Below are 27,806 nucleotides of genomic sequence, written 5' to 3'. Positions count from 1 at the left end.
TAAATACTGGCTAATGAGGTGTGAGCAGAAGCAACACGGACAACCTGTGGGTTGTGCTATTAAAGGAAGCAGGTTTGATCTTTACTTCTCCAATTTTCCTTCCTGCTGGCTAGTTAACCATTATAAACCTTACTAAAGTAGGCCGGGCACGGTGGCTCATGCCTGTAATCCCAGCACTTCGGGAGGCCGGGGCGGGTAGATTACCCAAGCTCAGGACTTTGAGATCAGCCTGACCAACATGGCAAAACCCCGTTTCTACTAAAAATACAAAAATCAGCCAGGTGTGGTGGCACGCGCCTGTAATCTCAGCTACTCGGGAGGCTGAGGCAGGAGAATCGCTTGAACCCAGGAGGTTGCAGTGAGCCGAGATCGTGCCACTGCACTCCAGCCTGGGTGACAGAGCAAGACTCTGCCAAAACAAACAAACAAACAAACAAACAAAAACTTACTAAGGTCAATGCCTTAAGGATGGATAATCAATAAGGCAGGAACAAGTATCTCTGACCGAAGGGCCACCTCATACCCATCCTAGAATAATATTCTTGAACTATTACATGAGTTTCAAAAAGAAAATATTCCAGATTATATGGCCAGAGCCCAGCCTCCCTCCCAAAAAATAGTACCCTTATCCCCAAAGAAAGAACTCTAGAATCATCTCTCATTTCACTGATGGTTCTTTATATGCTTTTTCCTTTCACTCATGGGTACTATAAATATTTATTATAGTCAATGATCTATTTATATAACCTTTCAATTTTTTATTATCCAGTTATCTGGATGCCCTCTATAAGACCTGCTGCTTCCATGTTATCAATCTTAAATTATAATGGGAAAAGAAGATATACCCGCAAAATGCCTTCTTACACTTGGAGTCCTAAAGGTGTCTTTTCCAAGGAAAGATGGGCCATCCATGCTGAAACAAGCAAAATACAAGTCAGTATGGAAAATTTCTTATTGTATCTTGAGTTTCAAGGGGGATTGGTAAGGACAACTTCACACATACTTTCAGTGGCCAGTTGCATAAATGTAAGTATGTACGGACCATTGCACTGGCCTCTTAACTCATCTACCTGTTTCCACTATGTACCCCTGAAATCTGAATGCCAGAAAGATCTTTCTAAAATGCAAAGGATCACGTCGCTTAAATTCTTCTTCTTTTTTGTGGGGGGGGTGGGGGGGGGGCGTGTGGGGCGGGCAGGGACGGAGTTTCGCTCTTGCTGCCCAGGCTGGAGTGCAATGGTGCCATCTTGGCTCACCACAACCTTCGCCTCCTGGGTTCAAGCAATTCTCCTGCCTCAGCCTCCCGAGTAGCTGAGATTACAGGCTCCCGCCACCACGCCCAGCTGATTTTTGTATTTTTGGTGGAGACGGGATTTTGCCATGTTGGCCAGGCTGGTCTTGAACTTCCGACCTCAGGTGATCAGCTCGCCTTGGCCTCCCAAAGTGCTGGGATTATAGGTGTGAGCCACTGTGCCTGGCCTTTTTTTTTTTTTTTTTGAGACAGAATCTCGCTCTGTTGCCCAGGCTGGAGTTCAGTGGCGCGATCTTGGCTCACCACAATCTCCGCCTCCCGGGTTCAAGCGATTCTTTTGCCTCAGCCTCCCGAGTAGCTGGGACTACAGGCACGCGCCACCACACCAAGCTAATTTTTTTTTTTTTTGAGACAGAGTCTCGCTCTGTTGCCCAGGCTGGAGTGCAGTGGCACGATCTCCGCTCACTGCAAGCTCCGCCTCCCGGGTTCACGCCATTCTCCTGCCTCAGCCTCCCAAGTAGCTGGGACTATAGGCGCCCATCACCACGCCCGGCTAATTTTTTTGTATTTTTAGTAGAGACGGGGTTTCACCGTGTTAGCCAGGATGGTCTCGATATCCTGACCTCGTGATCTGCCCGCCTCGGCCTCACAAAGTGCTAGGATTACAGGCGTAAGCCACCGCGCATGGCTAATTTTTGTATTTTAAGTAGAGACGGGGTTTCGCTATGTATTTTAAGTAGAGACGGGGTTTCGCTATGTTGGCCAGCTGGTCTCCAACTCCTGACCTCGTGATCTGCCCGCCTGGGCCTCCCAAAGTGCTGGGATTACAGGCGTGAGCCACTGCGCCTGGCCCCTCCCACTTAAAATCTTTCATTGGATTTCCACCGCTCTTGGAAAAACACCAAAGTCCTCACTGTGACCTGAGAACCCCCTTGGGACCCTAATCTTCCTATGCCTCCCTCTCCTGTGCTCACTGACTGCCTCTCACATTTGTCTTTCTTCAATTCCTTCCAAACTACTATCTTCTTCCTTTTGAAGAACCTTTACAAAGGTTATTTCTTTTGCTTGAAATAGTCTTCCCTTCTCATGCCTCCCTCAACTTATTTAACTCCTACTCAAATGTCACATTTTTAGGGAAGTAAGCCTCTTCAGACTTATTTGCATTCCCCATCATGCAAATTTATATGATTACACTTTTTCACAGAACTTTTACAGTCGTAATTTTCTGTGCATTTGTAAGCATATTTGATTCAAGTATGGCCACAAGGCTCATGACAGGATGGACAACGTCTATTTTGCTCACAATTGTCTCTTATGGCTTATGAGGGGATTTAATAAATATTGGTTGAATAAAATGAATAAATGAATGAATGAAATATAATTTGTAAGGTAAGGATAAAAGGCTTGTTCTTAGAGCCTGGAATTCTCTTCATTGTTTAAGTCTGATGACATAACATGAATTGGGAAATGTATTAAGAATTTCCGGAATTTTTTTTTTTTGAGACGGTGTTTCACTCTTGTTGCCCAGGCTGGAGTGCAGTGGCGCGATCTCAGCTCATGGCAACCTCCGCCTCCCGGGTTCAAGCAATTCTCCTGCCTCAGCCTCCCAAGTAGCTGGGATTACAGGTGCCCGACAACACGCCCAGCTATTTTTTTGTATTTTTAGTAGAGATGAAGTTTCACTATGTTGGCCAGGCTGGTCTCAAACTCCTGACCTCAGGCGATCTACAGTCTCGGCCTCCCAAAATGCTAGGATTACAGGCGTGAGCAACCGCGCCCGGCCGATTTCTGGAATTTGATTGTTGAGCCTGAAATGTATGTTTATAAGGCTCCATTTCTCTTTCTTTCTTTCTTCCTTTTTTCCTTTCTTTCTCTCGTTCTCTCCTTCTTTCTTTCTTTCTTTCTTTCTGTCTTTCTTTTTTGACATGGTGTCTTGCTCTGTCGCCCAGGCTGGAGGGCAGTGGCACAATCTCGGCTCACTGCAACCTCTGCCTCTCGGGTTCAAGCCATCCTCCTGCCTCAGCCTCCCAAGTAGCTGGGATTACAGGCATGCACCACTACTCCCAGCTAATTTTTGTATTTTTAGTAGAGACGGGGCTTCACCATATTGCCCAGGCTGGTCTCGAACTCCTGACCTCAAGTAATCTGCCCACCTTGGCCTCCCATAGTGCTGAGATTGCAAGTGTGAGCCAACGTGCCTGGCCATCAGGCTCCATTTCTATTTGTAACTGCCAACTAGAAACAATATGAAAGAGCAGTGGCTCTATAAAAATGTTAGCCAAACCCGTACTTGTGTATATGATATCCCGGAGTGCAAACTCAAGCGTGGCAAAAGAGAGGGAGAGGCTTACATGAGGACAGATAGCATGGTATGGTGGTTACGAGCTCAGTCTTTGGAACCCAACTCTCTGGTTTTGAAACTCTGCCCCATTGTTTATGAGCTATTATTCTTAGGCAGTTTCCTGTTTTCTCTGTGCCTCAGTTTTCCCGACTACAATATGGAGCTAAACGGTGCCTCATAGGCTTATGAGAATTCAACCATTTCACATTAGTAAAATGCTTTGAAGATTTCCTGCAAGAGGACAAGCGCTACATAAGTGTTAAATAAATAATACACACTTCATGGGAGTTGCTGTTCCCGGAGAGGTAAAAATATATTAGTAGTCACAATAGTCAAGTACTGCATATATAAATGCCACTTCAGAGGGTATAGGTCAGGTCTACTCCCTTCTCACCATCCTCAATCCATTGTCTTGGGTTAAGGAATTGTGTCACCAAGACTTTCTTGTTACATACAGATGTTTTCCGGGAGCTATAAACAGGGAGCTATTACCACAGCTTTAGCAAGGTCTAAGTGTAAGGTCTAGGATGATTCATTTCAATATACAGAAGTCAGAAAGAAGTAGTTCATTTAGGGCCAGGCCCGGTGGCTCACGCCTGTAATCCCAGTAATTTGGGAGGCCAAGGCAGGCGGTTCACAAGGTCAGGAGTTCGAGACCAGCCTGGCCAACATGGTGAAACACCATCTCTACTAAAAATACAAAAAAATTAGCCAGGTGTAGTGGCACATGCCTGTGATCCCAGCTACTTGGGAGGCTGAGGCAGGAGAATCGCTTGAACCCAGGAAGCGGAGGTTGTGGTGAGCGGAGATTGTGCCATTGCACTCCAGCCTGGGCGACAAAGCACGACTCTGTCTCAAAAAAAAAATTATAATAATACATAAGAAGTAGTTCATTTAATCTAACAAATATTTACTGAGAATTTCTGAGATTGGCTAGCTGCTTCCCATTTGCCATGTTCTTGCCCTCCTGGGCACACTGCTGGCTTGCATAGCCCATGTGCCTTGAATCTAGGAAGGGACCATAGAGAGCTCTCTCTCCAGTGCGTTGTGAGCAGGGCGATGGGAGGCACTTGTGGGCCATGGCAGTTGACAGGTGTGCTTTCTACATCCACTCTCTTTTGTCCCTTATCTGAGGCTGTGCTGGAGGGCTCTGACTTCCTGGGTATTGCAAAGACTTCGGAAAGAAGGTCTCTTAAGTGACTGCACAGAGCAGAGCTTCCACCTCCCCTAATTCCAATCTGAGGTTTCTCTGTTATCTGAGTTTAAATTGGAGCCTAGGAGTCATTTTAATGGGGCTTCATCACCAAGCAGCTCGATGAGTGGTATTACTACGTATTTAAAACTAGCTTTGGGCTGGACATGGTGGCTTATGCCTGTAATCCCACCACTTTGGGAGGCTAAGGCAGGTAGATTGCTTGAGCACTCATGGCAAAACCTCATCTGTACAAAAAATAAAAAAAAATTAGCTGGCGTAGTGATGTATGCCTGTTGTCCTAGCTGCTTGAGAGGCTAGGTGGAAGAATCACCTGAGCCCGAGAGGCCGAGGCTGCAGTGAGCTATGATTGTGCCACTGCACTCCAGCCTGGACAACAGAGTGAGACCCTGTCTCAAAAGAAACAAAAGACTGGGCATGGTGGCTCACGCCTGTAATCCCAGCACTTTGGGAGGCCAAGGCAGGAGGATCACTTGAGGTCAGGAGTTCGAGACCAGCCTAGCCAACATGGTGAACCCTGTCTCTACTAAAAGTACAAAAATTAGCCGGGCACGGTGATGGGCACCTGTAATCGCAGCTGCTGTGGAGGCTGAGGCAGGAGAATCACTTTAACCCAGGAGGACTGAACCTAGACAGAGCTGGGATTACAGGCACGTGCCACCAAACCCAGCTAATTTTTGTATTTTTAGTAAAGACGGGGTTCACCATGTTGGCTAGGCTGGTCTCAAACTCCTGACCTCAAGTGATCCTCCTGCCTTGGCCTCCCAAAGTGCTGGGATTACAGGCGTGAGCCACCATGCCTGGCTGACTCACTATATTTCAAGGGTCCTTTTCTCAAAGACATACCAAAAAAAAAAAAACCACACAATTACTACCACACCACTTCTTCCACACCCCTAGGATTCCAGGAGAAAGGAACAAAGCTGGCATGGTTTCTGTCTGCTCCATTCACTTGAGAAGGAAGGTCTCTGCACTTTGGGGGAATTACGGTAGTTTCCCCTCACGAAAGGGGAAGAACTTTTGGTCTATGACTTTTTAACTTCATGACAGTTTTCTCTTTCCCTGTGGAAAGAGAATTAAATCCTATCTCTTCCACTCCAACCCCTCAAATAGTAAATTGAGGCTATCAAGACAATTCCAATTCTAGGTTTCGGTTTCTTTTTGCTATAAGGGCTTAAATTGGAGCCCTCGAGTATACTTTCTTTGCTGAGAAGTATTATGAATGATTTCATATCTAACACTAGCTTTGTTATTGAGGCTATAGATAAATGACTCTCAGCAACAGCAACCTTTGGCACCTCTGTTCTGGAATATCACGTTTTAAGTAAAGTACAACCTAGAAAACAACTCAGCACCTTAAGAGCCTTCTAAAATGGCTTGATTTTATTGTATTACTAATTCTGGGCCAAAGAGTTTATTGCATCAGATGATACAAATTAGAATGAGAGTGCAGAAGAGAATACTGTGTAAGAATAATCATCCATTACAGGGCTGATATTTGATAGAAAGTGTTAATTCATTTACATTGTTAAGTATCCACTGAAAATGCAGATATTATCATGGTAGTATGATCTCTGAATCAAGGGCTCAGATTTTTGTTAGAATCTCATGATTAAACATGTCTTAATTGATAAATTGAAATAATAAAGCTTGTTTCACTTAAGGTAATATGTTTTCTGGTCTCAAATCCTTGTTGTCTCCTTTTGTCCTTTAAGCATTAATAGGTATAATCTGGCCGGGCGTGGTGGCTCATGCCTGTAATCCCAGCACTCTGGGAGGCCAAGGCCGGTGGATCATGAGGTCAAGAAATTGAGACCATCCTGGCCAACATGGTGAAACCCCGTCTCTACTAAAAATACAAAAATTAGCCGGGCATGGTGGCACGCACCTGTAGTCCCAGATACTCGGGAGGCTGAGGCAGGAGAATCACTTGAACCCAGGAGGGCAGAGGTTGCGGTGAGCCAAGATCACGCCACTGCACTCCAGCCTGGCGACAGAGTGAGACTCTGTCTCAAAAAAAAAAAAAAAGATATAATCTTCAATTTATGATAGCCATAAAGAAAATTAAATTCCATTACTATTTATTTTTAAAATTAGGCATAGATTCTAAGTTTCCACTCTGAATCACTGACTTTAGTCTTTTTCCATGGAGTTGTAAAGATTAATAAGGGGCCGGGCGTGGTGGCTCAGGCCTGTAATCCCAATACTTTAGGAGGCTGAGGCGGGTGGATCACTTGAGGCCAAGAGTTTGAGACCAGCCTGGCCAACATGGCGAAACCCTGTCTCCACTGAAAATAAAAAATTAGCCAGGCAATGGTGGTGCACACCTGTAATCCCAGCTACTTGGGAGGCTGAGGCAGGAGAATCACTTGAAACCCGGGAGGTGGAAGTTGCAGTGAGCCGAGATCACACCATTGCACTCCAGCCTGGGCTACAGAATGAGACTCCATCTCAAAAAAGAAAAAAAAAAAAGGCTAATAAGGAACTGAAGAGAGTTAGGAATATCTTATCTGCACTTATTTAAGAATATAAAATGAAAATACTACATATGCTTTCTAAGCCTAGCTCCACTGAACTGACACTCGAAAGCAGAGATCTTAGATAAACCTTGTGTTCTAAATTAGTATTGGTTGACTGGCTGTACCTTTGAATCAGTGTATTATATGTCACTTTCCAAAAAACAGCTGCATTTTAATAAGCCTTTTATGTTAGTATGTTCCCCATAGAGAGTTAGACCTGCCAATTGTGTGTGCATTTTTCTAACATCTATAAGACTATCTGAAATAAAATCATAGATTTTAGGAACTGCAAGTTACTTTGAACTTTTCAATTGTAATCTAGGCAGCTTATTTGCCATTTGTCCTGTGGCATCTGCTTGAACAACAAGAAACATTTCAATCAGACTTTGAAAAAGAATAAAATGTAATTTTTAAAACCAACACTTTATTAAATTGGACGACAGGTAAATCAACAAGTAGCAGAAAGACTATTTTATTATCTTGGTTTTAATTGCTTCTTAAAAATGGTTCAAGAGTTTGTATTTATTTATTTATTTTTTGGGGACAGTCTTGCTCTGTTGCCCAGGCTGGAGTGCCGTGGCAGCATCTCGGCTCACTGCAGCCCCTGCCTCCCAGGTTCAAGCGATTCTCCTGCCTCAGCCTCCTGATTAGCTGGGATTACAGCATGCCCCACGATGCCCTGCTAATTTTTTTGTATTTTTAGTAGAGAGGGGGTTTCACCACGTTGGCCAGGCTGGTCTTAAACTCCTGATCTCAGGTGATCCGCCCGCCTCAGCCTCCCAAAGTGCTGGGATTACAGGCAAGAGTTTGGGGTTTTTGAGATGGAGTTTCACTCTTGTTGCCTGGGCTGGAGTGCAATGGCGCACTCTCCGCTCACTGCAACCTCTGCCTCTTGGGTTCAAGCGATTCTCCTGCCTCAGCCTCCCAAGTAGCAGGGATTACAATCATGCGCCACCATGCCCGGCTAATTTTTTTGTATTTTTAATAGAGAGAGGGTTTCACCATGTTGGCCAGGCTAGTCTGAACTCCTGACCTCAGGTGATCCATCCGCCTTGGCCTCCCAAAGTGCTGGGATTACAGGCGTGAGCCACCGCTCCTGGCCAAGAGTTTTGTTTTTAATTAATGTATTGTTTTTGAATGTTTTTCCTGTACTTTTTTTTTTTTTTTTAGACTGAGTCTCTCTCTGTCACCCAGGCTGGAGTGCAGTGGCGCGATCTTGGCTCACTGCAACCTCTGCCTCCCGGGTTCAAGCAATTCTCCTGCCTCAGCCTCTTGAGTAGCTGAGATTACAGGCATGCACCACCACGCCCAGCTAACTTTTGTATTTTCATTTTAGTAAAGAAGGGTTTTCATCATGTTGGTCAGGCTGATCTTGAACTCCTGACCTTGTGATCCACCCGCCTCAGCCTCCCAAAGTGCTGGGATTACAGGCATGAGCACGGTTTTTCCTGTACTATTAAACACAACCTTCCTGGACCGCAGGGAAGACTATAGGGGATTTAGGCGAATGGAGAAGGGAGCATAAAAGATGAATGAGCTCCAGCAGGAGAGGCCTTGGTGCAACCGGGGTTAGTGGGTCCCCACCTGAAATGCATTTGGAAGCACTCAGTGAGTTTTTGAAAATGCAGAGTCTCAAGTGCTACTGAGGAGATTTAGATTCAAAAGTTGTAAGTCATGACCCAGGAACATATATGAAATTTCTCTGGTAATTCTGATGATCATCTGACCTGTTGCACCTCCATTTTAGTTCAGTTCTTCCACTCTACAGGGCAAATGACCGGAAATGGCTTTCACAAAATTAATTAGTAATCAGAATTGAGGTTGGAATCCAAGTATCCATATGCCGTGGATTCCCTTATCCATGTTCCTTCAACATGACCATACTCGAGGGAGAGAGGAATGAAGGGTCCACGGGCTGAACACTAAGAAACAGAGGACCTGATGCGGGCGGTGGCTCACGCCTGCAATCCCAGCACTTTGAGAAGCTGAGGGAAGTGGATCACGAGGTCAAGAGATCGATACCATCTTGGCCAACATGGTGAAACCCCGTCTCTACTAAAAATACAAAAATTAGCCGGGCGTGGCGGCGGGCGCCTGTAGTCCCAGCTACTCAGGAGGCTGAGGCAGGAGAATGGCTTGAACCTGGGAGGCAGAGATTTCAGTGAGCCAAGATTGTGCCACTGCACTCCAGCCTGGGCGACAGAGCGAGACCCCGTCTCAAAATAAATAAATAAATAAATAATTTAAAAAATAAGAAATACAGAGGACCTACTTACATGCCTTTACCTTGAATAGTCCTGATAGCCTATTCTGAAGAATCTGACTCAGCAATTCCACTGGGGTATTTATGGTAGTGAAAATTGGAAACAACTTAATTGACCAACAATAGGATATTGAATATATAAATTATAGTACATAGTTATGATACAAAGGAAAAATATGTAGCCTTTAAGAATGATGATACAGATGTACACTTTTAGCATGAAAATATAGTCACATTACATATACACACAGAGAAAAAATTTCTGAAGTATATACATCAAAATATTGACAGTGGGTTTCTCTGGGTAATTGAGATCATAGGAATTTTTTCAAAAGTTTTCTAATCATATTTCACATATTTTCACAACAAATAATCAACTCATACACACAACACATTCACATATAAAACCAGAGGTTTTTTTGGTTTTGGCAATTTGTTACAGTTCATTGATTCTTTGTTGAACCAAATACCAACCCAAACAAGAATAAAGATGATGAGAAGGTTACATGCTTTACATGCTTTTCTGTGAGCTCTTGAGGGTTTCATAAAGCTGAAATAAAATTATGCACCATGTCTATATTTGAATTGACGGTGTATTTGTTGAATGTCTGTGCTTATGTGAAGACTCTTCCTAGCATATAAATGTGAATATCATAATACATGTTCATTTTTCTTTCCCTTAGGGATTTGATTAGTGGTTTCAGAGGACATGGTACAAAGGGATACAATAATAAAAAGGTATAACAGTTTTTTGTAAGAGGAAAGGAGTGAGATTCTGTAATTGACCCAATATTAGATCTACAGCTCTACCAAAGATCTTGCTGTCTACTGTGCTTATTAATAATTTAGCTATAGTGGTACACAAAGGAAGTGGTTTGTAATTACTGAGAAAATATTGAAACCTCCATTGAAGATAAGGTTATACGGTCTAGCAATAAAAATGTGTGCCTGTGCAATATATTACTATATTTTCCAATTTGACTGCAGCCCTAGTAAGTCAAAGGTGGTTATTTCTTCTATGAGACAGGGTTGTGATGGAAAGAACATTTGCTCATTTTATGATTCTAATCTTGTCTCTGCTACTGACTAGTTCTGTGATCTTGGGTAACAGCAACATGTAAAGTTCAGGGTTCAAAACAAATCTGGCTCTCTCTATAGAAAGTGCTCCATTTAGATATGTGTATATCTATACGAGTTTAAGTACATACGTATATATGCAATATTTAGCCCCAAACTAAATATACAAAGTTCTTATTATATTCATATACTGGCCGGGCATGGTGGCTCACGCCTGTAATCCCAGCACTTTGGGAGGCCGAGGCAAGTGGATGACCTGAGGTCAGGAGTTCGAGACCAGCCTGGCCAACAGGGCGAAAGCCCATCTCCACTAAAAATACAAAAATTAGCTGGGTGTGGTAGCGGGCACCTGTAATCCCAGCTACTTGGGAGGCTGAGGCAAGAGACTTGCTTGAACCCAGGGGGTGGAGGTTGCAGTGAGCCGAGATCACACCACGGCACTCCAGCCTGGGTGACAGAGCGAGACTCCGTCTCAAATATATATATATATACACACATACTAAGAATTTCAGAGGCCATGATCTAGATGTCATTTTTTAAAGGCTATCTAAAAATAGAATATCTTTCATTAAGTCAGAGCCCTGGAATACTAAAAGTTAAAACATTAAAAATATAGGAATGGGCCAGGCGCAGTGGCTCATGCCTGTAATCCCAGAACTTTGAGAGGCCGAGACAGGCAGATCACCTGAGTTCAGGAGTTCGAGACCAGCATGGCCAACATGGTGAAACCCCGTCTCTACTAAAAATACAAAAGCCAGATGGGCGTGGTGGTGCATGCCTGTAATCCCAGCCACTTGGGAGGCTGAGGCAGGAGAATCGCTTGAACCTGGGAGCAGAGGTTGCAGTGAGCTGAGATCCTGCCACTGCACTCCAGCCTGGACAACAGAGCAAGACTCCACCTCAAAAAAAAAAAAAAAAAAATATATATATATATATATATATATATAGAGAGAGAGAGAGAGAGAGAGAGAGAGAGAGAGGAATGACAGCACAAGGTGCTTTTTATAATACCTGCTTCTTACTGCCTTAGAACTATTTTGCTAGTTTTCTAATGGTGAGGATACCATGCTGAAGCATGAGGTGAATTACTAGGCTGGGACTGTGATGCGGTAACATTGGCTTTATGTTTTTGGAGTATAGTTCTATCTACCCCTAACACACCTGGGTGTATTCTAGTCCCGTGGTTGCAATAGTGATAATAACTAGCACTTGTTTAGTGCTTATTGCTTGTCAAGCCCCGTGGTAAATATTTCACATGCATCACCTCATGTACTCTTAATTGTATTGATTAGGAAATGAAGCACTGAGAGGTTAATTGACTTGCCTAAATTTACTCAGCCAGTAAGAGGCAGAGCCAAGATTCAAATGTAGAGCATCTGACTCCAAAGCCACACCCTTAACCACTCCCTGCACAGCCTTCTCTGTGAGATCCCTGCCAAGTTCCATGAGGAGACAGGCCAGGTCTCTCGTACTCACGTCTTATTCACAGAGCCTGGTTCTGGGTTTATGCACAATTAACATCGCTAAATAATGGATAAATGATATTGGTATTTCTCAGATCAGTTGCAAGATACTTTGCTAATGACTTGTTTCAAATGATAAAGGATTAAAGTTTGTAAACTGTCGACCAAAAAATAAAATAGCAGAATCAAGGTTGACTGGGAAATAGTGTCATACTTTACTCATTTGCCTTCTGATATGGTAACAAACAAGCAAAATATGTTGGTGGCTTAGCACAAAAGAGTTTATTTCTCACTTACACCAAGTCATCTGAGCAGGTCAGCAGGTCACCTGCCCTCCTTACAGTGTCTTGATACACAGGCGCCATTGTCCCAAGGCAAGAGTTCAGAAAAGAAACTGTAAGATCAGGTGGGGCTCCACTCCTCAGCCTGAAATGATATGTCAATGATGCACTGTTTCCTCTCAGAAGTTACTGGCCAGAATTAGTCACAACTAACTAAGCATGGGATCTGAGAAGTGCAGTCTTCCATGTGCCCTAGGATGAGAGGAGAACTAGACATGGGTAAGCCCTAATGGTGGCTTCTACAGAAAGAGAGAAATGGATATTTCGTAGGTGCTGGGATTATTCATAACATTAGAAAGGCCTATTGAAGTGTGTCACACATTGACCAGTGTTGCCTTCAGTGTAGGAGACAAAGAGAGAGGAGAGGGAGGGATAATTTAAAATGTGCAGGGAAAGCTGGGTGCAGTGGCTCACGCCTGGAATCCCAGCACTTCAGGAGGCCAAGATGGGTAGATCGCTTGAGGTCAGGAGTTCAAGACCAGCTTGGCCAACATGGTGAAACCCCATCTCGACTAAAAATACAAAAATTAGCCAGGCATTAGTGGCGTGTGCTTGTAATTCCAGCTATTTGGAAGGCTGAGTCAGGAGAATCGCTTGAACCCAGGAGGTAGAGGTTACAGTGAGCCGAGATCATGCCACTGCACTCCAGCCTGAACGACAGAGTGAGACTCTGTCTCAAAAAAGGAAAAAAAAAAAGAATTGCAGGGAAAAGTTGTTACCATACCACCTTTCTGCTCATGAGCTGGAGAATTTGTAGTTTGTCATACACACATACAGAATGAAGAAAATTACCTCATCATGTACAAACAAAACATTTTAGATGGGGTAAAGAGCCAAATATAAAAAGAAACCTATAAAGGTATTTTCTAACACAGAGAAAAGCATGATTATTAACCTTAGGCTAGGGAAGCCCATCTTAAGCAACACAAAGTATAAAACCTATAGGGAAAAAAAGAGTGATTTTTTTTTTTTTTTGAGATGGAGTCTCACTCTGTTGCCCAGGCTGGATGCAGTGGCGCCATCTTGGCTCACTGCAAGCTCCACCTCCCGGGTTCAAGTAATTCTCCCGCCTCAGCCTCCACAGTAGCTGGGATTACAGGTGCAGGCCACCATGCCCAGCTAATTTTTCTATTTTTAGTAGAGACAGGGTTTCACCATGTTGGTCAGGCTGGTCTTGAACTCCTGACCTCATGATCCGCCTGCCTCGGCCTCCGCAAGTGCTGGGATTACAGGCGTGAGCCACTGTGCCTGGCCTAAAAGAGTGATTTTTTCACTATATGAATATTAAAGCTTCTCTTTGACAGAAGACACCACGAAGTTGAAAGACAATTGATATACTGGGAGAATATATTTACAACTTGTTCAACACAAAAAAGAATTAATGTTCACAATACATAAGGAACCCTAAACATTAAAAAAGACCAAAAAAGGCAGGGCATGGTGGCTCACGCCTGTAATCCCAACATTTTGGGAGGTTGAGGCGGGCGGATCACTTGAGGTTGTGAGTTTGAGACCAGCCTGGCCAACATGGTGAAACCCCATCTCTACTAGAAATGCAAAAATTAGCCGGGCGTAGTTGTGGGTGCCTGTAATCCCAGCTATTTGGGAGGCTGAGGCAGGAGAATCGCTTGAATCCAGGAGGCAGAGGTTTCAGTGAGCCAAGATCGCGCCATTGCACTCCAGCCTGGGCGACAGTGCGAGACTCCATCTCAAAAAAAAAAAAAAAAAGAAAAGAAAAGAACAACAACAACAAAAAAACCCCAAAAATCAATGCTCTGCAGAGGAAATACCAAAGGCCAATTAGCTTACAAAGAGATTTTTTACCTCAGTAATAAGAAAAAAAAATTAAAACAGCGATGAGATAGATGGCAAAAATCAAAATGATTAATAGGAGTCTAAGAAACACTATACAGAATTATACCAGGCCCGGCATGGTGGCTCACACCTGTAATCCCAGCACTTTGGGAGGCCGAGGCAGGTGGATCACGAGGTCAGAAGTACGAGACCAGCCTGGCCAACATAGTGAAACCCAGTCTCTACTAAAAATACAAAAATTAGCCAGAGTGGTGGCGCACACCTATAGTCCCAGCTACTCGGGAGGCTGAGGCAGGGAGAATCGCTTGAACCCAGGAGGCGGAGGTTGCAGTGAGCCGAGATCGCGCCACTGTACTCCAGCCTGGGTGACAGAGCGGGACTCTTGTCTCAAAGAAAAAAAAAAAAATAGACCTTCCCTTACAGTGATGGTGAGAATATAGATGGCAGTGCCTCTTTCTGAGGGCTATTTGTCAGTGGTTCTTAAAATGCATATTCTCTTCAACCCAGCTCTAGCTTTTTATCTTACAGAAATTTGTATGTACACAAAAATGTACGGGCAGGATATTCATTGAAGCATCATTCATAGTAGGAAAAAATGAAAAACCAGCCTAAATGCTCAACAATAGTGGAGTGTGAACTAAATTATAGAGCATCTATGCCATAGACTCTTACACAAAGCAGTAAAAAAGAATGAGAGGAATGTAATTAAAATTTCAGGAAAAACAAAAACAAAACTCCGTGAGAAAAGGTGCGATGCTAATATTTTTAAATGTGCCATGATTTTGAGCATTTGGTAGATTGGAACAGGGAGAATTCATTGTATTCATTCTTTGACTATTACCAGTGTTGTCATATTGGAACAATAGAGCAGGAAATACATCACATTGTTTATCTCTGCAGTGAATAATATTTACATAGTCATGATAACTTAAGTGCTGTTTATTACTTTTCATCTTTTAGAATCAACCTATAGTCCAAACACAGTGGCTCATGCCTGTAATCTCAATACTTTGGGAGGCTGAGGCAGGCAGACCACTTGAGCTCAGGAGTTTGAGACCAGCCTGGGCAACACAGTGAGACCTCATCTCTACCAAAAATTTAAAAATAAAAATTAGTCTGGCATGATAGTGTGCGCCTGTAGTCCCAGCTACTCAGGAGGCCAAGGTGGAAGGATCGCTTGAGCCCAGGAGATTGAGGCTGCAGTGAGCCATGATTGCACCACTTCACTTTAGCCTGGGTGACAGAATGAGATCCTGTCTCAAAAAAAAAAAAAAAAAAAAGAAAAGAAAAAAAGACAAGAATCGACCTATAAAACATTAAATACTTAAGGTTTAAAAGATCCAAAATGTTGGCCGGGCACGGTGGCGGGCGCCTGTGATGCCAGCTACTCGGGAGGCTGAGGCAGGAGAATGGCGTGAACCCGGGAGGCGGAGCTTGCAGTGAGCCGAGATCACGCCACTGCACTGCAGTCTGGGCGACAGAGCAAGACCTCGTCTCAAAAAAAAGAAAAAATAAAAAAGATCCAAAATGTTACCAACAAAAATTGTTGGGGCTGGGCACGGTGACTCATGCCTGTAGTCCCAGCACTTTCACAGGCCGAGGCAGGCAGATCATCTGAGGTTGGGAGTTCGAGACCAGCCTGACCAACACAGCAAAACCCAGTCTCTACTAAAAATACAAAAATTAGCCAGGCGTAGTGGCGCGTGCCTGTAATCCCAGGTACTCGGGAGGTTTAAGCAGGAGAATCGCTTGAACTTGGGAGGCAGAAGTTGTGGTGAGCCAAGACTGCACCATTGCACTCCAGCCTGGGCAACAAGAGCGAAACTCCATCTCAAAAAAAAAAGAAAAAAAAAAAGAAGAAAAAAAGTGTTATCAACCATAACAATAATGCAGTAAAAGTAACACTGGCATAATGTAGTGGGCTAGGAAGCAAGATGGCTTTGTGTAAGGATGTGCCAGATATTGCTCACCAGGGAAGATACAGAAGGAGCAAATAAGTCAGAGTAGAACTCAGCTATCATTAATACATTTGTATGCCTTGACATTCTCCTTTATCTTTATTTGACATTGGAAGGAATAGTGCAGAAACTCAGAGGACATTAAGGTGTTTTTAGGGTTTAATTTTAATTTTTTTTTTTTTGAGATAGGGTCTCACTCTGTCAATAAGGCTGGAGTGCAGTGGTGCGGTCATTGCAACCCCCTCTAGGATTCAAGCAATTCTTCTGCCTCAGCCTCTTGAGTAGCTGGGATTACAGGTGCCTGCCACTACACCCAGCTAATTTTGTATTTTTAGTAGAGATGGAGTTTCACCATGTTGATCAGGCTGGTCTCGAACTCCTGACCTCAAGTGATCCACCCGCCTTGGTCTCCCAAAGTGCAGGGATTAGAGGCATAAGCCACCGTACCCAGCCTAAAGTGTTTTTAAATAGTAAATAGGTAGTTGGCTATCAGATCAAATGTTTTTTCTTTTATAATGCTACCACTTTTAGCTATGACTCAAGACAGTTGGCTTTTTGGTAAGGATAATAATATATTATAATTGGGGCTTAAGAGATAATTATATTAGATAATTAAATGCTCTTTAAATCATATTAGTGTAATGTTACTTTTCTGTTTTTCTCATTTGGTATTATATTAAATATTATAGAAATATCAAATGTGTTACTTTAATAGATATTGATCTGAATGGGGAAATTAAAGAGGGACACTGGATTCTTTACATGGATATACTTGGGAACATTTTAAAAATATCTTTTAATGATGATTCTACTCTACACACCTAAAATGTAAAATAGACAAGATTTTCCAGATAATTAGATTAAAAAATACATTCACAGGGATATCAAGATATTTAGGTCTTTGAGGGCTTTTTTTTTTTTTTTGAGACGGAGTCTCACTGTGTCACCTGGGCTGGAGTGCAGTGGTGTGATCTCGGCTCACTGCAACCTCCGCCTCCCAGGTTCAAGCAATTCTCCTGCCCAGCCTCCAAAGTAGCTAGGATTACAGGCACACACCACCACGCCTGGATAATTTTTGTATTTTTAGAAGAGACGGGGTTTCACCATGTTGGTCAGGATGGTCTCGATCTCTTGACCTCGTGATCCCCCCGCCTTGGCCTCCCAAAGTGCTGGGATTACAGGTGTGAGCTACCGAGCCTGGCCCTCTTTTTCTTAATAAGTAGAAATTTGACCGGGTGCTTCCTAGCATCCGGAGGCTGCTGGAGACTCTGCTGACTTCAAGGGCTGCCCATCACCAGTAACAAAGGAAAAAGCCAATGGTGGTTGCCATCTCTCTTCTGCCTTCCAAATCTCTCACCAGTATATCTGATTGGCAGAACTCAAGCTATGTCTGAAACTGTGCTGGCAAGGGAGTATGAGACATGTTCCCAGATTTCCAGCCCCTGCAAAACAGGGGAGATAGAAGACTGTAAAAAGTGCTAGATGCCAATAGACAATATCTGGCTCACTTGTGTATTAACAAATCAATAAGAGTAGCTCTGTTTGACTACAATAGAAACATTAAATATGTATAAAGAAGACTGATTATTGGTTAAAGAGAGTTGGAGAAAGGGGGAAGGAAGGGAGAGAAAGCTAAACCTATAGATGGAATAGATTAGATAGATATTTACTAGAGATCTATTATGACCCTAAAGCAGGAAAATTACAACATTAAAAGCAGTCCTTTAGGACAGTGAGAGAATAGATTTTGTGTTTGTGTGGTGTCGCAGTGGAAAAAAAGAGGAAGTAGAGATGAAGTAGAGAAATCTTTTAAGAGATAATTTTAGGAATCCACCAGTGAGAGGCTATGAAGATTAGAGTAAAAGTGGTAAAGCTGGGTGCGGTGGCTCACACCTGTAATCCCAACACTTTGGGAGGCTGAGGCAGGCATCAGGAGTTCAAGACCAGCCTGGCCAACATAGTGAAACCCTGTCTCTACTAAAAATGTAAAAATTAGCCAGGCGTGGTGGTGGGTGCCTGTAATCCCAGCTACTCGGGAGTCTGAGGCAGGAGAATTGTGTGAACCCGGGAGGCAGAGGTTGCAGTGAGCCAAGATCGAATCATTGCACTCTAGCCAGGGCGACAGAGTGAGACTCCATCTCAAAAAAAAAAAAGTCCTAAGAGTGGAGACCAATGGGCATACGTGAGAGATACGGCCCCTAGGTCCAGAAAAAGAAACTTGTCCCTAGAATATTCTAATGTCTATCAGTGGCCACATTCTCTGACTGATCTGTGGCTCCAACTTCAGTCTCCTGGGGAGCAGCAAGCCAGCTATGCAGAGCTGGCTCAATCACATCTCACGGCCTCTCCAATCAGCTCCATCAGCAAATAATCCTTTCCTGATAAAGAACCCAGGTCTGCTTCTGCATTTTTATCTCCTTTCCAACTTCTTTGGAGTAATTACACTAAGTATGGAAATGAGGTAAGGTGACCCGAGGAATTCATCAGGTTCCCCTCTTGCCCATTGTCTAAAGTAAAGCTACAAACTCCTTTGTCGCACTCCAACATTCTTACAACGAACTCCATTTTCTACTCCAGCCCCACTGGAACACGGCTTCGGTCATGCTGATCTTACCATTTCCTGCATTCACTCATTCATTCATTCACATGCTCTTCAATCAACAAGTATTTATTGAGGAGCTACTCTGCACCAGGCCCTGCTGAGGATTTAGAAGTTAAACGGCAAAACAATAACAAAAAATCCCTGCATTATGGAGCTTACCTTCTAGTATAGAGTGTGTTAGGAGGTAAGTGCAGGGCTTCAGTCTAGGAGTTTGAGATCGACCTGGGAAAATGGTGAGACCCTGTCTCTAAAAAAAAAAAAAAAAAAATTAGTGGGATATGATGGCACATGCTTAGAGTCCTACCTACTTGGGAGGCTGAGGTGGGAGGGTCGCTTGAGCCCAGGAGTTCAAGGTTACAGTGAGCTATGATTGTACCACTGCACTCCAACTTGAGTGACAGTGAGATCTTGTCTCTAAAAAAAAAAAAAAAGAAGGTAAGTGCAGGGAAGAAAAATGCTATAATGCCATCTTCATCTTCATGGAGTTATTTCTGTTTTTTTTATGTTTTTTTTTTTTTTGGTGGTGGTTGTTGTTGTTGTTAGCTTTCAAACCCAATCTTCTTCTCAACATTCACAGCATATTTTCTTTGTATTCTGTGCCTTGCGTAACCCCTTTGGCACAACAACCCATCCTGTTCAATGCCTCTAATTGTCTGTCATGTCTCTGTGTGCTATTTATAACACAACACTCCCCTCTTCCAAAAAGGATTGTATAGAATCAATGTGGTCACATGTAAACACAGGAGCTTGAGAATTTTTCTTGTAAATGTTCAGTGAGATCATATGACTTCTGTAGCAAGATGATAATGTTTTATAAGAATCCAATTGATGTATCTGAAGTCATAAAGTAAAACTTGGAAACAAAAAATAAAATGACTAATATTAGAAATTTAGGGTTAGGACAGGAGGCAGAGGTTGCAGTGAGCCGAGATCACACCACTGCACTCCAGCCTGGGCAACAGAGTAAGACTCTGTCTCAAAAAAAAAAAAAGAAAGAAAGAAATTGAGAGTTAGGAAAGTAAAGGGAGAGATAGGGTCAAAGCCGAATTGGGACAGATTTATAAAAGATGAAGAGTACTTTTTAACAAAACCATAGAGACAGAGAAAAAACGTAGATAGAGGTATTTTCCTGGAGTAGAATATTTTGAAAACAACATTGTGAGTGGAATACTTAAGAGAAAGAACATGAGAATGTAGACAGGGAAGAGGTGGAGCAACATCGGAAGGAAAGAATGTGTTAATACAGCTCTGTTTAAAATAGTGTCCTACGGGTCACTTGAGGTCAGGAGTTCGAGACCAGACTGGCCAGCACAGCGAAACCCCATCTCTACTAAAAATAGAAAAATTAGCCAGGCATGGTGGCATGCATCTGTAATCCCAGCTACTCAAGAGGCTGAGGCGTAAGATTCGCTTGAACCCGGGATGCAAAGTTTGCGGTGAGCTGAAATCAGGCCACTGCACTCCAGCCTGCATGACAGAGCAAGACTCTGTCTCAAGAAAAAAAAATAATAATAATAATAGTGAGAGGTGGCAGTGTGCTGGCAGCCCTCGCTCGCTCTCGGTGCCTCCTCGGCCTTGGCGCCCATTCTGGCTGCGCTTGAGGAGCCCTTCAGCCTGCCACTGCACTGTGGGAGCCCCTCTCTGGGCTGGCCGGGGCTGGAGCCGGCTCCCTCTGCTTGTGGGGAGGTGTGGAGGTAGAGGCGTGGGCAGGAACCTGGGCCAGCGTGAGTTCCGGGTGGGCGTGGGCTGGGTGGGCCCCGCACTCGGAGCGGCAGTGAGGGGCTTAGCACTGGGGCCAGCATCTGGGAGGAGGCGCCAGGTCCCCCAGCACTGCTGGCCCACCCGGGCCACACTCGAATTCTTGCCAGGCCTCAACCACCTCCCTGCGGTGGGCTCCCGAGAGGCCCAAGCCTCCCTAACAGGTGCTGCCCCCTGCTTGTGGCACTGGTCCCATCCACGGCCCAAGGGCTGAGGAGTGCGGGCCCACAGCACAGGATTGGCGGGCAGCTCCGCCTGCGGCCCCAGCACAGGATCCACTAGGGGAAGCCAGGTGGGCTCTTGAGTCCAGTGGGGACTTGGAGAACTTTTATGTGTAGTTGGAGGATTGTAAATGCACCAATCAGCACTCTGTGTCTAGCTTGGGGTTCATGGATGCACCAATCAGCACTCTGTATCTAGCTAATCTGGTGGGGACTTGGACAACTTTTGTGCCTAGCTGGAGGATTGTAAACGCACCAATCAGCACTCTGTGTCTAGCTCGGGGGGGGGGGGGGGGGGGGGGTGGTTCGTGGATGCACCAATCAGAACTCTGTGTCTAGCTCAGGAATTGTAAACTTGTAAACGCATCAATCAGCACTCTGTGTCTAGCTGAAGGTTGGTAAATGCACCAATCAGTGCTCTGTGTCTAGCTAATCTAGTGGGGATTTGGAGAACTTTTATGTCTAGCTTTGTAAATGCACCAATCAGCACTCTGTGTGTAGCTCAGGGATTGTAAATGCACCAATCAGCACCCTGTCAAAACGGACCAATCAACTCTCTGTAAAACGGACCAATCAGCTCTCTGTAAAATGGACCAATCAGCAGGATGTGGGTGGGGCCAGATAAGGGAATAAAAGCAGGCTGCCCAAGCCAGCAGCGGTTGCAGTGAGCTGAGATTGCACCATTGTGCTCCAATCTGGGCAACAAGAGCAAGACTCTGTCTCAAAAACAACAACAACAAAAAAAAGTGATGTGACTGGCAGCACCCTATGCCTTATTCCCAGTTTGAAAGTAGGTATAGTGCCTTTCTAACCACAGCAATCAGGTAAGATTGAAGGCAACAGTACAAAGGAAGAGTCAAGAAAGACATTATCCTAATATTGTAAATATACATTGCTAGAAGTAGGAGGAAGAAGAGCAACAACAAAGCAACTCTATTTTTAAAAGTCATTTAAAAAATTTGTTTTCCGGCCAGGTGTGCTGGCTCACACCTGTAATCCCAGCACTTTGGGATGCCAAGATGGGCAGATTGCTTGAGCCCAGGGCTTTGAGACCAGCATGGGCAACGTGGTGAAATGCCAGCTCTACAAAAAAATACAAAAATTACCCAGGAGTTGTGGTGTGAGCCTGTAGTCCCAGCTACTCAGGGTTGAGGCGGGAGAATCACCTGAATCCAGGAGTTCGAGGCTGCAGTGAGCCATGATTGCGCCACTGCACTCCAGCCTGGATAAGAGTGAGATCCTCTCTCAAACAAAAATAAAATAAATAAATAAATGGGGCTTCAGCCATCAGGGCATCTGTTGGAGGTTTCCCGGTGGCAAAAAGCAAAGCATCTGATTAATTAGTAACTTCTTTTTCTGACAATTTAATCTCTTACACAGTAGAAGAAACAACCGGGATAACTGCTACTTTGAATTTAAGTCTAGCCAGAAAAAGAGAAGCTAGTTGTAAAATGGATTTTGGGTCTGAGGAGAAAGTGTCCAGGTCACTTTAGATTTTGCGGTAGCCAATGATGTCAAATGTGCTTTTAGATACCAGGAAATTAGATTTTAAGAAGTCGAAGGGGAAGGGCGCAGTGGCTTATGCTGGTAATGCCAGTAATTTTGAGAGACTGAGGCAGGTGGGTCACCTGAGGTCAGGAGTTCGAGACCAGCCTGGCCAACATGGTGAAACCCCATCTCTACTAAAAATACAAAAATTAGCCCGGCACAGTGGTGCGCACCTGTAATCCCAGCTACTCGGGAGGCTGAGACAGGAGAATTGCTTTCACTCTGGAGGCGGAGGTTGCAGTGAGCCGAGATTGTGCCACTGCACTCCAGCCTGGGTGACAGAGCAAGACTCTAACTCAAAAAATAAATAAATAAAATAAGTTGAAGGGAAAAATAAGTCATTTGCAAAGGTCTAAAATTCTACAGGAAAGATTATTTTAAAAGCCTTTAAAAAGCGACATTTTCAACTCAACAAATATTTGTTGATCACTACTACCAGGGGCTGTAATTCTCACAAGGAATTTATCATCTGTGGAGGGAGGAAAATGAGATAAGCACTCAGGTACCCAGCTACCATTTATTGAACATCTACTGTGAAAAACAATATGATTCATAATTTATATAATATTTATAATATTTACAAATACTCTGCAAGGAAGATATTACCTTCAGTTAACAAACAAAGAGATTAAATGTTTAGACTAGTTATGTAAATTGCTCAAAGACTCACAGCTCATGAGGAAATCAGCTCCAGTCCCATTCTTCTTGGATTATTGAATCCACCTGGTAAGGCAAAAAGGGAACTTTGCTTTGTTCTGCTTCTCCCATATGTACTCAAGAACACCAAGAGTTCATTTGTATGTATTTGTCTCCTAAAATGGGCAACTGTTAACAGCTGACTGCAAAGGAATAAAATTGGTTTCATCTTTGAAATTGAGAATATCTGCTAAACTTTGTAGGAGAATCAATTAATTGAATGAAAGGCTTACCATCACCATCCCTTCTATATTTAAAATCTCCTGAACTGTCAGGAACTTCAGAAAATCGTCACTTAAAATACAACTGTTTAATGACAGGATGTGTAAAAAAATTGTATCTTACCATCCTAAGTTATATATTTTTAAAAATAGATCAACTCTTTAATGTTGAAAGTAACTTAGTTGTACAATGTGTTTAGAAGCTTAAAATGTTGGCTGGGCACGGTGGCTCACGCCTATAATACCAGCACTTTGGGAGGCCGAGGAGGGTGGATCACAAGGTCAGGATTTCAAGACCAGCCTGGCCAACATGGTGAAACCCTGTCTCTACTAAAAATACAAAAATAAGCCGGGCATGGTGGCGTGCGCCTGTAGTCCCAGCTACTCAGGAGGCTGAGGCAGGAGAATTGCTTGAACCCAGGAGGCGGAGTTTGTGGTGAGGCGAGATTGTGCCATTGCCCTTCAGCCTGGGCGACAAAGCGAGACTCCGTCTCAAAAAAAAAAAAAAGCTTAAACTGTTTTTTGGTTTTTGTTTTGTTTCATTTTTGAGACAGGGTCTTGCTGTCACCCAGGCTGGAGTGCAGTGGCTCAATTCTCCCACCTAAATAGCTGGAACTACAGACGCACGTCACCATGCCCATCTAATTTTTAAATTTTTGGTTGAGACAGGGGTCTCCCTAAGTTGCCCAGGCTGGTGTCAAACTCCTGGGCTCAAGCGATCCTCCAGCTTTGGCCTCCCAAAATGCTGAGCTTACAGACATGAGCCACTGTGCCTGACCTAGTAGTTTAAAATGTTAAGTAGATACAATTATTATATAAGAGTTTTTCTTGAAACATTTAATAAGTTACACAATAGATTAAAATGGTTATTTAAAACTAAATAAAACTGAAGACTTTATCAATTATATACTGATAAGTTTTGACATATACATATGAATACATATATATTCAATTTGAGTGAATATATGTTAAACATATATATTTATATATGTTAAACATATATTTATATATGTTAAACATATATATTTATATATGTTAAACATATATTTATATATGTTAAACATCTACTTTCTTCCCTATAGTAAATTCTTTTTTTTTTTTTTGAGACAGAGTCTTGCTCTGTCACCCAGGCTGGAGTGCAGTGGAACGATCTCGGCTCACTGCAACCTCCACCTCCTGGGTTCAAGCCATTCTCCTGGCTCAGCCTCCCGCGTAGCTGGGATTACAGGCATGCACCACCACGCCCAGCTAATTTTTGTATTTTTGGTAGAGACAGGGTTTCACCATGTTGGCCAGGCTGGTTTCGAACTCCTGACCTCGTGATCTGCCCGCCTCAGCCTCCCAAAGCGCTGGGATTACAGGCATGAGCCACCGTGCCCGGCCTGTTAGTTAATTCTTGACTGAATTATTGGAATATTAAATTTCAAATCCACATTTACCTATTTAAATTCAACTCATATGTTTTAGTTAAAAATAATAAAGCCAATGAGGTCACAAGATGGGAGTGGTCTAGGAATTAAGTCTTCAGAAGTTCACTGCCTCTGGTACTTGAGGCAGCAGCCCAGGAGGTAGTTTTAGTCAAAGAAGTTCATTGCACTGAAAGAACCACATAGTTAACCACACCCTATTTCCTGTATATTTCTGGATGGTGAAAATATCCAATAAACTGAACATGAAGATTATATTATAACAGCTTTTATTGTATACAACACTTGCTTTCCTGAAAGGTGTCCATGCTTTCCTTTCAGTGGCAAAAAACAAAAAACAAAACAAAACAAAAAACCAAACATGTTTAGAAGTAAATAATGATGAAATTTGGTCCATTCACATCTCTCCCTACACAGAAAATTTTGAGAAACTCATAACACATCTTTAATCAGTTATTTGCTTTGTACAGAGACACATGTATATAGAATTCTTCAAAATTCTCTTGTTACCTACAGGGCTGCCTTGCTGTTGGGGTGGACCCAGAATAAGTAGCATGATGAAGGTTGTAATGGGACTGGGATCTAGCCAGCTCCCTCTGGCCAAGACTTGACTTCTGGTCCAAGAGGAGGAAGGTGTACCTGGTTCTAATCAGTCCACACAGAATGGGCACAAAGGACCTGGCTGTGTTGCCTGAGGCTCTCTAGGGCCCTGCTCTCATAAATAAGAAGGACGAAGGAGGTAGCCTACAAAAAGACTTTCTTCTTATAGGTGTATGGGAATTAATGTATAAATGTAACCTCAGCTTGGCCCTTATGGGCTCTGTACCTTTTTTTTTTGAGACGGAGTCTCACTCTGTTGCCCAGGCTGGAGTGCAGTGGCATGATCTCAGCTCAACTGCAACCTCCGCCTCCTAGGTTCAAGCAATTCTCTGCCTCAGCCTCCCCAGTAGCTGGGATTACAGGCATGCACCACCACACCCAGCTATTTTTTTGTATTTTTAGGGTTTCATCATGTTGGTCAGGCTGGTCTCGAACTACTGACTGCAGGTGATCCACCCGCCTCGGCCTCCCAAAGTGCTGGGATTACAGGTTTGAGCTGCTGCGCCCAGCTTCTGTACATTCTTTTCTTTTCTTTTCTTTTTTTGAGATGGAGTTTTGCTCTTGTTGCCCAGGTTGGAACGCAATGGCATGATCTCGGCTCACTGCAACCTCCACCTCTCAGGTTCAAGCAATTCTCCTGCCTCAGCCTCCCAAGTAGCTGGGATTACAGGCATGCGCCACTACGCCTGGCTAATTTTGTATTTTTAGTAGAGAGGCGGTTTCTCCATGTTGGTCAGGCTGGTCTCGAACTCCCGACCTCGGGTGATCTACCCACCTCGGCCTCCCAAAATGCTGTGATTACAGGTGTGAGCCACCACGCCCAGCCCTTTCGTACATTCTGAACGCATAGATCTAAGACTACAGAGAGCAGGGCCATAGCATCTGTGTTTTGCTAAAGGGAGTGGGATGGAGTGTAATCAAGTACTAGCTATGCTTGCACACTTCTCGACCAGTGAGCACTGATATAATTCTTCTGGCCCTCAAAGAGCATAACCTTATTTGTCGATCAAAAATCTGGCCTCGGCCTGGCATGGTGGCTCACACCTGTAATCCTAGCAGTTTGGGAGGCCTGGGTGGGCAGATAACCTGAGGTCGGGGAAGTCGAGACCAGCCTGACCAACATGGAGAAAACCCATCTCTACTAAAAATACAAAATTAGCCGGGTGTGGTGGCACATGTCTGTAATCCCCACTACTTGGGAGGCTGAGACAGGAGAATTGCTTGAACCCGGGAGGTGGAGGTTGTGAGCTGAGATGGTGCCATTGCACTCCGGCCTGGGCAACAAGAGCAAACAAAGCTCCATCTCAAAAAAAAAAAAAAAAAAATCTGGCCTCAAATAGACCCCTGGCCAATAATATTTTATGGCTCTGATGGGAAAAATATTTAATAATTTGTACTCTTCACACCTCCTTATAATCCCTCTTGATCCTAATTACTGCCTGAACTAGAATCCCAGGGTGCGAAAAAGTGAAGGATCCTTTGAGATCAAGCCCATCAGCCTCTTGCCTTCTGCATGCCAGAACTGAGACCACTTTGTGCTTTCTTTCCCTCTTAATTCTTCCGATATGTTCACATTTTGCATCATTCACAACCTCCTGAGCAAGAAAATATGAGCAAGAAAATCTTGTTCACTGAAAATCTTGCTCTGCATAGCTCCCAGCCCAAACTAAAGAGTGTAAGAGAAAGAAAATAAGAAAACTACATGCTTCAAGAACTTAAAGCACTGTTGTCCTTCATTATATATTATTTGTACACCATACAAACCTTTTGTTTCATTAGTAAAAAAACTTCTTTGAGAGTAGGGGCTGTGTTTTTAAAATTATCTTTTAATATACGTGGAATGTAGTACAGTATCATGAATGCCCAGGAGTTTAATAAATTATTTGTTGGTGATGAGCAGGTCTATTCCCTGGCCTACCAGGAATATCCCACATAATCATCCCAGACAGATGAGAATCCATTCTTGCTTTTAAAGATCTCCAGGGAGTGAGAATCTAAACCTTCTTCCATAACTCATTTCAGTGTCTAATAAGCCTTAGTGTCTGCTGGAAGATTCTTCCCAAGAAGGTGGCATTTAGGAATGCTACCTAGTAAATGCTAGAAGGCACTGGAGCCAGTCGCTTGAATTACTACTAGGAACTACCCTGGGAGGAGGGAGAAGTGTGGGAGCCTAGGTGGGTGCTGATGGGGAAGGCAGTCAAATGAGGAAGAAAAAGGGCAGAGAGTAGGTTCCTTTCCTGCTCAGAGGAAGTGGCATCATACACACTTGGTAGTAGAGTTGTCCAGTGTTAATATGATTTGAGATGGGTAGTAGTCAGGAAGTCGTAGAGTTGGGAGAGCTCTATAATGGTGGAAGGCAAGTCTACCGTTGGCTCCCCAGCTTTTTATACCCTCTCTGAAGCAGTCTCCCTATGAAGATAAAATTGCTGTTACTATTCCCCATTATTATTCCATGGATGCCAGGGTTTTCTGTTAGTAGAAAAGGAATCCA

General features: G+C 43.6%; 1 long non-coding RNA gene across 1 annotated transcript; it reads right to left on the bottom strand.

Annotated features, from left to right (window-relative positions):
• Positions 1–847: 847 nt before the first annotated feature.
• On the bottom strand, positions 848–23,094 carry LOC107986053 (uncharacterized). Its single transcript, XR_001740576.2, has 3 exons — positions 23,042–23,094; positions 19,004–19,091; positions 848–913 (listed from the first exon to the last, which is right to left on the bottom strand). It is a non-coding gene; the product is annotated as an uncharacterized LOC107986053 (long non-coding RNA).
• Positions 23,095–27,806: the final 4,712 nt, after the last annotated feature.

The sequence above is a fragment of the Homo sapiens genome, chromosome 3 (genome assembly GCF_000001405.40).
Source record: "Homo sapiens chromosome 3, GRCh38.p14 Primary Assembly".
NCBI classification, from domain to species: domain Eukaryota; kingdom Metazoa; phylum Chordata; class Mammalia; order Primates; family Hominidae; genus Homo; species Homo sapiens.
This window is presented reverse-complemented; position numbering and strand designations above follow the sequence as displayed.